Below are 16,330 nucleotides of genomic sequence, written 5' to 3'. Positions count from 1 at the left end.
GTTCACGCCATTCTCCTGCCTCAGCCTCCCAAGTAGCTGGGACTACAGGTGCCCGCCACCTCGCCCGGCTAATTTTTTGTATTTTCAGTAGAGACGGGGTTTCACTGTGTTAGCCAGGATGGTCTCGATCTCCTGACCTCGTGATCCACCCGCCTCGGCCTCCCAAAGTGCTGGGATTACAGGCGTGAGCCACCGTGCCCGGCCTAAAATATGTTTTTATGTGTAATTGTATATAACATTTTGTGAATATTTTAAAAATTAAAGTAATATTAGCTTAAAACTAAGCATACTTACATAAATTCATTAATCCTCATGACAATCCTTTGAAGTAGGTATCTTGCACTCGTTATGTGTTTCATTAGTATCACCTGCATTTTTAAATATTCTATTTCTTTTTTTCTTTTTTTTTTGAGACGGAGTTAAGCTCTTTTTGCCCAGGCTTGAGTGCAATGGCATGATCTTGGCTCGCTGTAACATCTGCCTCCTGGGTTCAAGCAATTCTCCTGCCTCAGCCTCCCAAGTAGCGGGGATTACAGGCATGGGCCACCACGCCTGGCTAATTTTGTATGTTTATTAGAGACAGGGTTTCGCCATGTTGGTGAGGCTCACCTGGAACTCCTGACCTCAAGTGGTCCCCCTGCTTTGGCCTCCCAAAGTGCTGGGATCACAGGCGTGAGCCACGGCACCTGGCCTCTACATTGTATTTTTATATTGAAATGAACTAAATCATTTTCTCTCTTGTTTAAACAGAAAAAACTGTAGGGAAAAAATGAGAACTTTAGGTTGTTAAAATATTTGAGCAATGTACACTAGAGCCAAGTACTAAATAGCAAGGATGACATTATTCGTATTTTCTTAGGAATAAGATCTTTCTAGGAGATCATAAATATTTAAGCATAAACACACCATACAGTGGCAACCAGGGCAATTCTTGATTCAACATGGAATTTTTTTCAACCTTTAGACTGCTAACTATACAATCTGAATTTACTCATTAATTGCCAAGTATCAACTTTGGTTTAGAATGTGCAGATACAACTTTTAAGCCAGATCTTAACTTTTAAGATGTTTAAGCTTAAAGACCTTGGGAAGATCTTGTGAGAGTGATGCACAAAAGGAAATGTTCCACAATAATTGATTTTTATGTTCTTGTTCCATCTAATTCAAATATCTCAGTCTTTACCAGGTTTTCTCCTGCTCCACCTATTTTGTAATTGCTGTAACTTTATACAATTTTATTGTATTCATTAATCATATGCGGGGCTGAAATTTAGTTTTGCCTCAAATATCCATTCTTCCTCAACAAGGTAAACCCCTGAGTTTTAGCTGCACATATGGCCTTCAAGAATAAAGACATTTCTGGCCAGTTGTGGTGGCTCACGCCTGTACTACCAGCACTTTGGGAGGCCAAGGCAGGTGGATTACTTGAGGTCAGAAGGTTGAGACCAGGTTGGCCAACATGGCAATACCCTATCTCTACTAAAAATACAAAAAAAAAAAAAAAAAAAAAAATCAGCGGGTCGTGGTGGCAGCCGCCTGTAAGCCTAGCTACTTGGGAGGCTGAAGCAGGGCAATCGCTTAAACCCAGGAGGTGGAGGTTGCAGTGAGCCAAGATTGCACCACTGCATCCCAGCCTGGGCGACAGAGCAAGCAAGACTCCCTCAGAAAAAAAAAAAAAACAAAAAAACGAATAAAGATGACATTTCTTAACTTTCCTTACAGCCAGGTGAAGCCATCTGAGTAATTTTAGCAAATGGAATGTAAATGGAAATCATGATACAATGCATGCCCTTTTTAGCATCTTCCTCACGTAGACTGAAACAGAGATGTGATGTCTGGAGCCTCAGCAGCCATCTTTGAACATGAAGTGATCTTGAAAAGCAGGCTTCACACGACAAGACAACCACCTGGAAGGAGGCAAACTTTTGCCATTTGGGAAAACCATTCCAGCCAGGATCAACTGCCTTCAGATTTCTTAAACTTAAGACAGACATTTGCAGCTTATTTAATATGCTTTTTATTTTTTTGTGACTTGCAATCAAATCACTTTCTCCAAAACAATATCTAATTTACTATCACATTTGATCTTTATTGCTTATAAAGTGTCTCAACAGTGTCCAGCACAAGCTAGTGTTAGAGTTCTGTTGCCAGGCATAAACATATGCTCAGATGATCAGAACATTGCTGACTTAAAGTTTTATGAATTTATTTGCTGGTTAATATTTCTTATATTTTACATGGTACAAAATGACTTTTCTTCTTTCTGAATAATATCTGACAATGTGTAGTTCAACAGATTTTGCAGGTGAAATACTCCTTGAAATAGTGAAGTCTATTGTGTGCCTACCTTATAACGTTTTCTGGCACTGTACTTGTGTGAACAACATGAGGATAAATTCAGATGCAAAAAGTCAAGCGTTCTGTATTCTCAGGTTAGGAAGGGTGCAGGGGTGGAGATATTCAGTTGTTCAGCCTTAAGGCTGAAGAAGACCTTGGCATCTGTAGATCCTAGGGAGCTGCTAAGTTCAACTTAAAGAATATTTCCTTTAACAAAGGCAAATCATTAAAGGCATAGAGACGAACAACAAGACAGCTTTGTCAGCTTTGCTACAGGCCTTAATGTCGTTTGAACAGAAAGGCCTGTGAGGTTTTATCTTGACTCCATGACAGGTTATGTGGATAAATCACTGTGAATTAAACCTTAATCAAGTGTTTAGTCAAGTTCAATCCAACTATAGCTCTATAAAGCCAGTCTTGCTTTTACTCCAATTTTTCAATATGGTAAGCAATTTATTGAACTCTGGAAAATTCTAGATGAGTTTCCTAATTTCTCATATGCTATAACAAGAAGAACAATAATTAAATGCTGCCTAATTTTACATAAAATTTTAATTATTTAACAATTTGCATTTTGAGGTATTTATACTTAAAAGCCTTTGAAAAAAGTGACTGAATAACTATTTTCTTCTTAGATGAAAAAACAAATTTTCCTTTTACTAAAAAAAAAAAAAAAAAAAAAAAAATCACATTTGGAAGGCAGTCACCAGGGACAGTTTCACTTGGAAAGAAATTTTTTGAGAAAGTTCCAAGTGACTGAGAAAAGAGAATTATAATGGAATTTGTGCCACAACTTTTATTCTGACAGAGGGGCTATTCATCCTATGGAATTCTTTTAAAATCACTGACCTGAACAATATGCTTCTCAGAATGTTTTCCTGCTTAGCTTATAAAGATATTATTATGTATCTATGATATAATCACTAGAAAATGCTCCCTGTGGGGCATTTGTTGTCCCCCTAATTATCATAGTTGATTGTAGAATTGATATACCTGATATACTTCAAGGTACAACAGGAAAGCAGATAAAATCTTTTAAGCAAATGGCAACTTCTGTCTTCATACTGAAATCTGTTATTATATATAGTACTTCTACCAATTAAAGGATAGCCTATAAGCAGAACTTTTTAGTTTAAATGGGCAAACATTATGGTAATAGGGTTAAAATAATGATTCCTCTAGTTATTTGTGATTTTGATATCAAGACAAATCTATTTCCAATAATAATCATTAGTTATAATCTCTGATACAAATTACTCCTCAGGGACTCAGTTTCCTTTCTGGAAAATGGAGCTAGAAATACTTTCCATCTTTAAGGACTGATTTGAACATAAAGAGAGGTAATGTATGTAAGGAGTCTAACACTGTGTTTAACTAATTTCTATTAGTGTTTATTTTAGAATTCGTGCAATTCTGAAGCCCAGAGCCATAAATTTTATTATACCAATTTTTCTTATTTTGGCTGTGATACTGAAGAATAGTAACTCAATAAAGTTAACCAACTATAAGGAAATCACAGGCTTCATCTGTCACTTAGGTCTTCATGATTATTCAAACTATTTGGGAAGATCACAGATTAGGTTAATGTAAAACAGCCGTGAAACTTAAATTTCTTTACATTTGGCTTTGGAATGTGTTTGAGTCTTCCATTTGAAAATTGGTGTGTCTGGGGGTCTGGTATTCACTTCAAAGAAAATGATGAAGATGGATTGAGAAGCTGTGGCTCAGGCACAGAGAAAGATGCCCAGTTCCTCCCATCCTGCTTCTCTGTCCAGCTCTTCCCTTAACCCACGCAATGGTTAAAAAACAAACAAACAAACAAACAACAACAAAAAAGTCTGCTTTCCTTTAACTGATGAAAAATCTGTGCACTCTCCAAACTTCCTTAGAGTAAGGAGGTGGCTAAGTATTTGAGCTTCAAAGGACTTCTCTGCATGCAAACTCATAGAGGAAATTGGAATGTCTAAAACGCTATAATTAAACAAATGCAATACTAACTGCATTGAACTTGAAAGCTAGCTTGTTATGGTATAACCTCAAATTCTGATAAACCACCCAAGGAAAATACTGATTAACAGCAGTGTGCTTTGAATATTTATAGACATAGATCTGAATATACCAAAACAAAGCCTGCACCACTGATTCTATTATTTATTTAGAGATATAAACGTATTTTTAAGTGAGTTTTTAAAGAGCTGATGTAGCAATAACATTAAGCTGGAAAGATTTTCCTTTTGAGGGAAAAGAATCACTTTCAGGAAATTCTCAAATTCTTTCATTTTAGATAAAATATTTAATGCTTAATTTGAATGTGATAGAAATTAATTTAAATGAGGCACATTAAAATGCACCTAAATAATAAAACCTGCTACATATTTTAAAACCACACATGAATCTCTGGTTAACAAAGGTGAAATTATTCTTAAAGGAGAAGGTGGTATTTAAGTAGAACAAAGATGTCAAATCTGATATTTAGAAAGCATAGAGGTTATAGTATGACAGTGTTTTCATATTTTAAGATATCAAGTATAGAATGATTTTTTAAATGGTTATTTCTAAAAGATTTAAAACAGAGCTTCAGGGAAACTTGATAAAATTTAATTATATAGTGATTTTCAACATTCTAACAAAAGAATGGGCCACAGTATTAATAGGTATAATGTGGGATCAGTGTCCTGGGTCAAACATTGAACTATATAAAGTTAAACATGTTTCATTATACATTCATTATCTATTGCTACATAAAAATTCCTCCCAAATTTAGCATCTTAACTGGATGGTTCTGGCTGGAAGACTCTCATGAGGTTGTAGTCAAGATGCCTTACAAGACCACAATCATCTGAAGGCTTGAGTGGTGTTCAACCGAATTAAACTTAAAGGAGTTTAATTGAGTAATGAATGATTTGGGAATCAGGCAGCCCCCAGAATCACAGCAGATTCAGAGAAACTCCAGGGATGCCTCATGGTCAGAACAAATTTATAGACAAAAAAAGTCAAGTAACGTACAGAAATCGGAAGTGAGGTGCAGAAACAGCTGAACTGGTTACAGGTCAGCATTTGCCTTATTTGAACACAGTTTGAACACTCAGTGGTGATGAATGGTTGAAGTACGGCTGCTGGGATTGACCAAGACTCAGCTATTGTTACAGGCACATACTCCTAACTTAAGTTCTCAATCTTCTGTTTTCCTATTGAGTTAGGTTATGGTTCATTCACAAGGACTCAAATATAGACGTAAGGAGTCCTCAGGCCATATTTACTTCACTTTACAGTGGGTATGGACGATCCACTTCCAGGATAGTGCACTCTTGTGGCTGTTGGCAGAGGCATTCATTCTTTGCCATGTGGGCTTCTCTTTGAGACATAGCAACTGGCTTCTCCCAGAGTGAGGGACCAAGAGAGAGCAAGGAGGGGGCTGCCATGCCTTTTATAACCTAGTCTTGGGAGTCACACACTGTCATTTCTATCACAATCTATTCACTAGAATTCAGTCACTAAGTTTAGCCTATATGCAATGGGAAGGGAAATAAACTCCAATTATTGGAGGGAGAAGTGTCAAAGAATTTGTGAGTATATATTAAAACCACCACATATCTCGAGAACTTTGTAGAGACCTTAATATGCTAATGTGAATCCAGTAGTATGGGTACCATTTCCCAAGCATATTTGACCACTGAATTCATTTTTGTGGATAATTTTGCAGAACCAGTGTTCCATTGAAGACACTTTGGGAAACACTGGTTTAACACTGCCATCACAAAGAAAAACATACGTAAATTTCTTCAAGGCTACAACATATCACATTATTAGCTTGTTATCCTGGTGCTCGATTTGTAGATCTTAAATAAATACCGACTTTACTCAGTGAATGTTTATTGTTATCTTCTCTGTGCCAGTCACTGCGCTAATAATTGGCTGTTTAAGGCCAAATAAGAAATTGTCCTTGCTCCTGACCAGCCAACTAATGAGGTCCAAGGTATAACAGTTACAGTAAGGCAATGGCAAAGATGTGTAGCATACCTTATGTGCATTGCACAGTTTAAAGTGGTTTTCTCATTTTAACTCATTTAATCCCCACAATAACACTAATGAGATAGATCCCTCTTTTACAGATAAGAAAACTGAGGCTGGGATAAGGTAACTAACTTACTCGAGGTTCCATAACTCCAAAACGTCAGAAGTAAGATTTCAATCAAGGTGAAGTCTAGCTGTGAAGTTTAGCTCATAGTGTTAAGAATATGCCCTGCTAAGTCCTATACTATCAGATGCTTGTAGGAACAAAAGGAAAGTTGCAAAAAGCTGTAATCGGGGACTAGATGAAAGTGTCACAGTGGAGGTAACATTTAAGGCAGGCATTAAAAGGCAACCAGGAGTTAGCCAGAAGGAAAAGGAAGAAAGGCAATTTCAGCCTTAGGACCTGGTGTTCCCAAAGACACAGAGTCCTGTCCCTGAGTTGTGGGTTTAGAGAACACTGGTGTGAATAGGGAACGCCAAGAATGACAGAGGGTCCTGGGAGATGAAGTCTAAAGTTTACCTGGGGAGTAAAATCCAGGACCGCAGTATTATTTAGCTATTATCTGCAAATGTTTAATGTTAATATTCACCTTTGCAGAAAGTGATTCACCAAGCCAGGAATATCTGGCTAAGAGAGCCTTGAATACCGGGTGTGGTGAACACTGGGATGCACCACCCAGAACCCCTTTCAGGGATGAAGGACATACTCTCCTAGCTGCTGGGAGCACTGCCAGCACAGAGCCCTCAGCTGTCAGCTCTCTATGGGGATTGTGTTGGCTGAAGACAGCTGCCTCACCCAAGGTCATGCCCCTTTTCCAAGATGCTTGCATCCAATGACTGATCAGTGTTGGTGTAGAAAGGCCAACCTCTCACCCCAGCTCAGGACAACACAGCTACAGAGGTCATCCCAGCTTCAGAGATCCCTGTAGAGTCAGCTGCAGTGTTGGTTGAGACTGCATCACAGCTTGATTCTCCCTTTGCGCAATCCTGCTTTTGCCTCTTCTCTTCTGCAGGTAGAGTTCCTTAGAGGCTTCATAATAAACTTGACCTCTAATTTCCATTTCATAGGCTACCTCCTGGGGAACTCAACCAGTGACAATTGGCATCAGGAATGGTTAAGAAGGCAGATCCTGGGGTGGAATTTGGAGGTCTTGACTGGCAATTCAAATCCTGTCACTGGGGTAGGTGGTGGCCAGGCAACCTCTAGTACAAAGTAGCAATGCAATGGTTAACACTTCTGCCAGTGGTGAACTGGGATGATGTACTTACTGGTGACCCATGGAAGTGAAAGTATTACCTGGTGTGGAGTTTGAGAAAGGTGTGGGAAAAAGTAAACAGAGGCTGATGGAATTGGTTTGCCATTCCTAAGCATGATTAATGCTCTGAAAAAAAAATTATGACAAAAAAACAAAAGTAACTAGTTGACAAAAAAGCTAAAATTGACTAAAAGCTAAATGTGAAAGCCAGAAAGAGTGTCTTTGGTAGCACAGAGAGGCTCTCACCTTGTGGAGTGAAGGCAGAGAAAGCTGAGGTTCAGATGCAGGACTTTGTCCCTGTAGTAGCAGAGCTCAAAAGGTTAAGCTCTCAAGCACGGCAGATCCCTTATGCCAAGGTCAGGGCCCTGACTGGGTGGGAGCAGGGGAGTGATTCTGGCAATGGATGGGACATCTGGATTAGTGTGCATGAGAATCAAGAACTCACAGACTGCTGGGTGCAGTGGCTCATGCCTGTAAATCCCAGAACTTTGCGAGGCCAAGATGGGAGAATCACTTGAACCCAGGTGTTCGAGATGAGGCTGGACAATATAATAAGACCTCATCCCTACAAAAAATAAACAAAATTAGGCAGGCATGGTGGCACGCAACTATGGTCCCAGCTACTGGGAGGCTGAAGTGGGAAGATCACTTAAGTCCATGAGGTTGAGGCTGCGGTGAGCTGTGATCGCATTTCTGCGCGTTAGCCTAGGTGACCTGGCAAAACTCTGTGTCCAAAAAAACAAAAACAAAAGGAAAGAAAGAACAAAGGAAAGAATGAAAGAAAAATGAAAAGAAGGAAGGAAGGAAGGAAGTGAATTCGCAGACCTCCCTGAACCTACTGAGCCTGAACAAGGGGCATACTCTTCCCAGTTAAGGACTAGCACATTCCCTTGCTACTTGCTGGGCCCATAGCTAGGATTCCCTCCCTTTCACCCAGCTGAGGATGTGTTGAACCTGACATGAGAGGAAAGGGACTAGACTCCAAAGAGCTGGCAAACTGGCAGGAGCCAGATGAGGGTCCACAGGTCTGGATTCTGTGAATGCTTGATCAACAGTGGTGAAATGTAAAGTTAGAAAGGGAGAATTTACCCAGGATATAGAATTAAACACCTTGGCAAGGACCCTGGGAATGGTACAAATACACTATAAGATGACTCCTAGAAAAAGTAACAGAGCACTAAGCAGACATGTGTATACCTGCCAGAATTGCCATGATAGATGGCATGAGAAGGGGTTTCAAAGCTCAAGGAAATTGACATGTTGGAGTGAGTATACTGTGTAAGGCCAGAAAACCACCAGAGGCCCTTGATCCGCAGGAGGCTTGGGAGGAAGGGAAGCACTATTTGCCAAGCAACGAGGGTTTTGCTATTAAGAGGGGCATCAGCATCCCTAGGAAGTTCAGTGGTGGCTGTGCCCTGTAGGTTAGGGCGGATGGTAGGAGATGCCATCCCTCATAGCAATGGGGGTGATAAGACCACAAGGTGGACATGATGATCCAATCAGGGGCAATGTCATAAAGGCAGTGAGAGGGGTCTCTGACAAGAATGTTATGGAATTGTTAGTAGAATACAGTGTCCCTGAGGGCAAAATAGATGGGCAGCCAGCAAGGGTACTGCTCAATCCATAAAATCAAAAGAACTGAAGGATGAATGATCAGGAGGCTGAGGGCAGTCACCCCAGCAAAATGTTTCTGAACCTAAGCCAGTTTTTCAACCTGGTACTCAGTGACTGAAGAAGCAAAGTCCCCAGGAGGGAGGACCTTCCAATAGCTTAGCAAATGAACACAATAATGACTGCCCTTTACTTCCCTGAAGATGCTGGTGTCCATTTACTAAGAAAGGGGACATTGAGGTGCAGAGACCCAAAGCAGTGCCTTGTCTCCTGGTTAGCATGTGGTCACATGGGGGCCAAGTATGAAATGGGGTCCTGGTTTGGGTCCACTGGGACAGCAGACTACCCCTCCTCCAGTGGTCCTTTCTCTGGCCCCCAAATATACAACTGAAATCGATATAGTTGGCCATGAAATTTACATTGGACTCTTGGTTAATATGATGTTATGTATTTGTCTGAATTAAAAGAGTTAATACATGTGAAGAACTTAGTTCCAGGCACTAGTAAGCATTATAAAAGAATCTGAACAATATTGAATTATTATTATTATTAATATTGGATGAAAAATACTTTGGTCACATACCATAGCTCATACAGCACCCATGTTTGAGTTAGTCAACACAGTGTTTTCAATTTTTAAAATTAGTTGGCAACATTGAAAAAACCAGGGTGTTACAAAACTTGGATGACCGTAGCTGCTGGATTCACTTTGTCACTTGGCACAGTCAGCAAGCACTGACTGCGGCATCGTCTACAGTTCACCGCACTCCTCCTCACTTTCTGTTGCTCCCTGTTGCTCCCTGACACTGACGGAGTGCCAAAAGCTATTTACCACAGTGTTTGTGTTGTAGTCTTTTCTCATAACTGCCTGCTTTCCTTTTTCTTTTCTTCAATTTTCCCAGTCCCCATGGGCATTCCAGTCTGCATGTCCATTACAGAACAGAGGATTTGCAAATTGAAAGGGACCTAACAGTGTTGTATCATTTTTCCTATGTCCTCTTTTTTGCTTCTTTTGCTGTATGACTGTTAAAAGAAAACTGCTTCTTTCTTTAGACAATATGGTCTGAGTAGAGGCTGCAGCCTGGTAACCTACCCCTCTTGGGAAGAGAGTGTGTGGCCTCCTTGCCTAGTAACCTCATTGACTTTTCTGGGCTTAATCATTGTTGTCCATATAATTTCTAGTAGTAAATTGGAACAGACGTAAAGCTATTTCATGGAACTTGAGAGTTTTTCCACTTACTCCCAGCCCATCCCCCAAAATAACCCACCACTCTACAATTACTTTTACATTCATGAATTTGAGTAGGTAAAAGTTGAAATACCTTTTAAAAAGAATTTGGTGGCTGTGCACTTTGTACAGTTCCGAACAAAAAGTAAGTTTGGTAATTTAGAAGAAAGCAGTTGTTTGGTGCTCTGTAGTTGAAAATTATTATGTAAATAATTATCAAAATAATTTTTAGTTCCTTACTATGTTAGTATTTAGACAGCCTATGGGAAGTGATATTCACTCTAACTTTCATAAGGCAGCTTATCTTTTCTATTATCTTTTTGGGAAGATTTATGAATTGGAATTAAGGAGGACAAGTTTGGCACCCAATCACAAGATTCCTTGTGAAATATTTATATTTAATTCCAAAAAATGTTTCTAAGTTCTTATTGTAGTTTTCACTTGAAAAGGCCCTATGACTTATCTTCATCTTTCATTTAAGTAGCAATTGGTTAGGGTTTTTTTCTCTTTTGTTTCTTTTCTTTTTCTTCTTTCTTTCTTTCTTTTTTTTAAGATGCAGGGTCTTGCTATGTTGCCCAGGCTGGTCTTGACCTCCTGGCCTCAAGCTGTCTTCCAGCCCTGGTTTCCCAAAGTGTTGAGATTACAGGCATCAGCCACCGTACCTGGCCAGGTAAGGGTTTTAAAGTACTTAATGCATTCAGAAAATCTTCCAAAAATATAGTTGTATTTGTTTATTGACTGATTTTGCATCAATAGGTTATAAGGAGAATCCAAACTTCTACCTTTGTTTTTACACTGTTCTGCAAATTTGATTTCTGGATTGCTTCCCTCCCCTCCCCCAGATGAAATATTGGGCAATTTCTCTAGTTTTTCCCATTGTTCTTGGGTAATAAACAAATAGTTCCTTCATTTGGGCATTTAAAATGATCCAGTGTAATCATCACAAAGTCCAGCACACTGTAACCAAACTTTATTCAATTTAGAGCTTTCCATGTAAACTTTAGTGGGTCATGGGCATTGCTATTTTATTCCCCTTCTTCACTTCCTTTCTCCCCTCCTCTTCGCTCTAGCTGGTGTTTCTGACCCTTGGAGGGTACATCAAGTTATAGAGGAGATGAAAGGAGGAGCTGCAACATGGCGTTGGTGGCCCCTAGGAAGGTAGATACTCCAAAGTTGGTTCTTTCTCCCAGGCAAGGCTATTGCTGGCTCGTTAGTGATCCTTGGCCAGTGGTCTCTGACTGCCACCACCTTGACATAGCTGTCCGATTAACATTGTCTCTTTGGAGGACTTTTGGGTGCTTACTTCATTGTTAGGGTCCCATTGTTCTGCTAGAGCACTTAACCTCTTGGGTAGGATCCCTTTTAAGGCAGCCCCATGGTGGCTCCCTTTGACCTGAGCTTCCTTTGCTCGTTATCAATGAAGGTGAAGTTTGCTCCCACTGCAGGCTTCCTTATTTTGTGACCAGACACAGTGCTGTGGTCACAGCCATAGACTTTACCCTTACTGTTCTTACTGGGTCTCAGATCCAGTCCATATGTTCCTACACTCCAAGTGGTACATATAATTTTCTTAGAGGTCCTCTTGAAGTTCCTGTTACTTGTATTGAAGTACAATCCAACAATTTTTTCCCATGGAAATTCTCTCCCTACCTCTTCGAACTCAACTTCAACTGGAAGATGATGCTGACCAACTTGGTCATAGCCTTTGCAAGTCCCACTCAGGTGGCCTAGCATTCCACATTTTAATATGGGGTACTTGGAATGTCTTGCCTTATTCTTGGATTTTTGGTGTCTCCATCAAAAATAAAGCAGAATGACTTCAGTGTTATTATCATCCAGCAACATTAATCCTCTCGACTCAGGCTCAGTGGTGTACTGGAGCTGGTTGTTAACCATGGCCATTATTGAAGTTTAAATGAGACAAAATTACAATTAAATAAATTATATTACAAAGGAAGGCAACAAATTGTCAAAGATCATCACTTCCTAATTATTTCACTCCATTTTACTGTTACCTTTACTCCTGGGATTATGTATGTCTATTGTATCTGTATGGTAAAAAAAAAATTATATGATGGTGTATCACTGCACATTTATTCCCAACTCTACATTCAGTGACCTAACTTTGATAGCTTGAAATTGGTTATGGTAGGAGTATTTACACCAAGGAAATTGGCAAATGCAACAAATCAGGGTACTCCCTACCACCAAGCCTGTTGTTAAACATTTACCAATTCACCACTGCTCAGGATCCACTCTTCAAAGATGTTAAGAATTAGCAAGATAACAGATGCTATCCAAGGTAAAGCAGTTCCTTTCAATATAAAAGGGCTATTTTGTAACAACTAACACTTCCTGGGAACAATAGAGTCAGTATGTTCAAACAAGGTGTGTCTCACTCTCCAATGGGCGCAATACTTGGGAGATCAAATTGGTTCCTCTTCACAGGTATCCACCCTTAATACATTTTCAAGTAAAAGTCCGAGATTAGAGAAAGAAGCTCCTGCAGCTGCACATTCCTTGGCAGCCCACATCATAAATGCTTTTGCAAAAATGCCTCACCCAATTTTTTAAACTGTTCTGGGCTACATTTAATAGATGATGAAAATAATGACTTTTAAATATGCCACTGCACAATTAGGCTACTAAAGCAACTGAGACACTTTGGGCAGCTTGAGCCTAGGAAACAATACAAAAATACCTGCAGGGAAAAAAAGCAAAATATCTGCAGGAAAAAGGTAGATGTTGAAGGTCAAAATTTGCATCTACACAGTCAAATTGAATCCATGTGAATGACACTTCAAAAGAAACAACCTCTCATTTCTCATTCAATAGTATACATTTCAGCATTAAATAATCTCTCTATTTTGTTTTTCTTGAGCAGACTCAGGGAAGAGCTAATGGTACCATTGTTTCTCAGAATTTGGGAGAGCATAAACATTTAGAACACATTCTCTAAAAGTGGAGTATTTTTCACAAATTTTAGAAGGATATGTTGATGTGATGTTTGTTGAAAATATGAGAGAATTTAAAGAAAATAGGTGTGAAGGCAAAACTTTGAGACATACAGAGGAGAATGTTGATGGAGGAGCTTCCTTTATAAACTTGACCTCCCCCTGGCCTGACCACGCCCCAGGCTTTCATACATCAATATTTGAACCTGGAACTATCTTTTACATCTGCCCTACAAGAAATATTTCCAGGTAATCGATGTGACCATATCCTTTCTGATCAGTTGCCCCTCGCGCTGAACTGGTTGTTTAACATTTTGAGTATCACTGATATGCTTGTCTCTGTGTCCCCACATAAATAACATGTTGAATTGTAATTCCCAATGTTGGGGGAGGAACCTGGTGCGAGGTGTTTGGATCCTGGGGATGGATTTCCCCATGCTGTTCTCCTGATAGTGAGTGAGTCCTCACAAGATCTGATGGTTTAAAAGTGCGTGGCACTTCCCCCCTCGTTCTTTCTCTCTCTCCTTCTCCACCATGGTAAGATGTGCCTGCTTCCCCTTCACCTTCGGCCATGATTGTAAGTTTCCTGAGGCCTCCCCAGCCATCCTTCCTGTACAGCCTGCAGAACTGTGAGTCAATCACCCGTCTTTTCTTCATGAAGTTCCCAGTTTCAAGTAGTTCTTTACAGCAGTGTGAGAATGGACTAATACAATCACCGTCGTATAGCACTTTGTGTTCCATAGGAACATTTGTGTTCACCATTTCAGATGAACTTCCCAGCTACTCTTTCAGGTAGGAAAGGCAAGCATTATTAGTTCCTCTTTAAAAAGGTATTGCCCCAGCATTCTGGGCCAGTATCTGATGGATGAGCATACAGAAGCTGAATTAGCTGTCACCCGAGTATGGGTCCAGCAGAGCCTGGTAGAAAGGGCACATATTAGTTTTCTTTTGCAGTGTAACAAATTCCCACACACTCAGCAGCTTGCAACATCCATTTATTATTTCACACTTTCTGTAGATCAGAAATCTTGGCATGGCAATCCCAGGTTCTCTGCTCAGGGTCTCACAAGACTGAAATCAAGATGTTAGCCATGCTGTGGCTCTCAGCTGGAGCTCAGGGTCCTCTTCCAAAGTTCATTCACAACGTTGGTAGAATTCAGTAACTTGTGGTTGTAGGACTGAGGCCCCAGGTTCATGCTAGCTGTTGGCAGGGGTCACTGTCAGCTCCCAGAGATCGCCCTCAGGCCCTAGCCACCTGGTCCTCTCAAGGCAGCTGTTTTCTTCAAAGCCAGCAGGAGAATCTTCCTAACTTCTGCCAGAATGTAATGACAGGACTGGTTATCCCATCATATTCAAAAGTCCCACCCACACTTAAGGGAATTGGATCACACAGGACGCAGACACTGAGGAGTGAGAATCTTGGGATCTGTCTTAGAATTCCACTTCCACAGGGCACAAGCCTCCTGCACACAGAGAATCAACTCTCAGCTGGCCACGGATTAGCTTTGTGACTTAAACCTCTCTGTGCCTCATGTTCCTCCAGATTAGGGCAATACTGCTCCCTCAGAGATGTTCTGAAAAAAATAAAAGTACTAACATCTGGACAGTCTTTGGCACGTGAAATTCATTCAATAAATGCTTTCTCTCGTTCTTGCCACCCAATGTATGCCTCACAGCATGCAGGTACCCCTGGTCAGTTCAGTGTTTCTTATAGGTTTCAGAACAGCGTGTTACAAACTATGATATTCAACTTCATGCATTAACAATGAAATACAGAAAATTAAAAAAGATGAACTAATCTTACTTATTCCATCCTGAATGAGGATTTCCTATATCAGATGCATCTCATGTTATCCACTTAACCCTAAAAATCCTGCATGGAAGATATTATTATCCCCATTTAGCAGGTGAGGAAACTGAGACTCACAAAGGTTTCCAATGTACTCAAATGCACACAGTGAATAAGTGGTCTAGCTCATGACTGGGAGTCTTAGCTTGTAACAGAACATCCCACCAAAGAGCCACTGATAAATCAAGGAGTGTGTGTGTCTGTGTGTGTGTGTCTGTGTGTGTGTGTCTGTGTGTGTGTGTGTGTGTGTGTGTGTGTGTGTGCATGTCTGATTCATCAGGAAGGAATGCAAAGAATTTCCTTTTCCCTCAGGGAGAAGGCTGGGCCCCTTTACCTTCAAGGAGAGTGCACAGATTTTAAAATGTTGCAAAGGACCATCAATTTCCATTGAGAGAGAAAAGAAGCTGAAATAATATTTTGTGAATAAGGATTCAAGAAAGCTGGAGCTGGAATTAGTGATGATGATCTATTTCTCTCACTATTTGATGCTAGTTTTAAGTTCAAAAATAATCCTTTGTTGTTGTTGCAATGTCATTATTTCCACATTTTTAAAAAAGCTTGAAGAAGGGAAGAACACACTGTGGGACCTATCAGAGGGTGGAGTGGGAGAGGAGGAAGAGGATCAGGAAAAATAACTAATGGGTACTAGGCTTGATGCCTGGGTGATGAAATAATCTGCACCAACAAACCCTCATGACACAAGTTTACCTATGTAACAAACCTGCACTTGTACCCCGAACTTAAAATAAAAGTTAAAGAAAAAAAAAGCTTGAAATCAGAAACAAGGTCAATGGCACAACGACTCAATTCTCAATTAAAAAAAAATGCTGAACAAATCTTCCCACCCAGATGATTATATGCCCAACTAAAATCTCTAATGGAAAAAAAAAGGTATATTTATTTAAAAAGATTACTCCACAGCTCTCAAAAAGGGGAGAGGACTTGATAATTGACAAGGCAAAGTTGATGCTGCAGAAATAATTCTTCTGTTATTTTTAAAGTTTCTTTTGTTTTGGTTTTATTTGTCTTGTAAGAATCACTCAATTATGTGTAATGAGTCAGAGAGGCAATCAGGCTGATA

At 40.0% G+C, this 16,330-nt stretch overlaps 1 pseudogene across 1 annotated transcript in view, besides 2 other annotated features; it reads left to right on the top strand.

Annotated features, from left to right (window-relative positions):
• The window catches only part of RPSAP52 (ribosomal protein SA pseudogene 52), a 68,955-nt pseudogene that overhangs the window by 32,191 nt on the left and 20,434 nt on the right, over positions 1 to 16,330 (top strand). The window lies entirely within an intron of this gene.
• Positions 12,481 to 13,017: an enhancer, noted in NCBI's record as "OCT4-NANOG hESC enhancer chr12:66175547-66176083 (GRCh37/hg19 assembly coordinates)". NCBI's record gives its function as "activates a minimal SCP1, AML or CMV promoter by ChIP-STARR-seq in naive H9 embryonic stem cells {active_cell/tissue: H9 hESC(naive)}" and the evidence as "EXISTENCE:reporter gene assay evidence [ECO:0000049][PMID:30033119]".
• Positions 15,368 to 15,869: an enhancer, noted in NCBI's record as "NANOG hESC enhancer chr12:66172695-66173196 (GRCh37/hg19 assembly coordinates)". NCBI's record gives its function as "activates a minimal SCP1, AML or CMV promoter by ChIP-STARR-seq in primed H9 embryonic stem cells {active_cell/tissue: H9 hESC(primed)}" and the evidence as "EXISTENCE:reporter gene assay evidence [ECO:0000049][PMID:30033119]".

This window comes from Homo sapiens, chromosome 12, assembly GCF_000001405.40.
Source record: "Homo sapiens chromosome 12, GRCh38.p14 Primary Assembly".
NCBI lineage: Eukaryota > Metazoa > Chordata > Mammalia > Primates > Hominidae > Homo > Homo sapiens.
The sequence above is the reverse complement of the archived record's forward strand: the minus strand, read 5'-3'. Positions and strand labels throughout refer to the sequence as shown.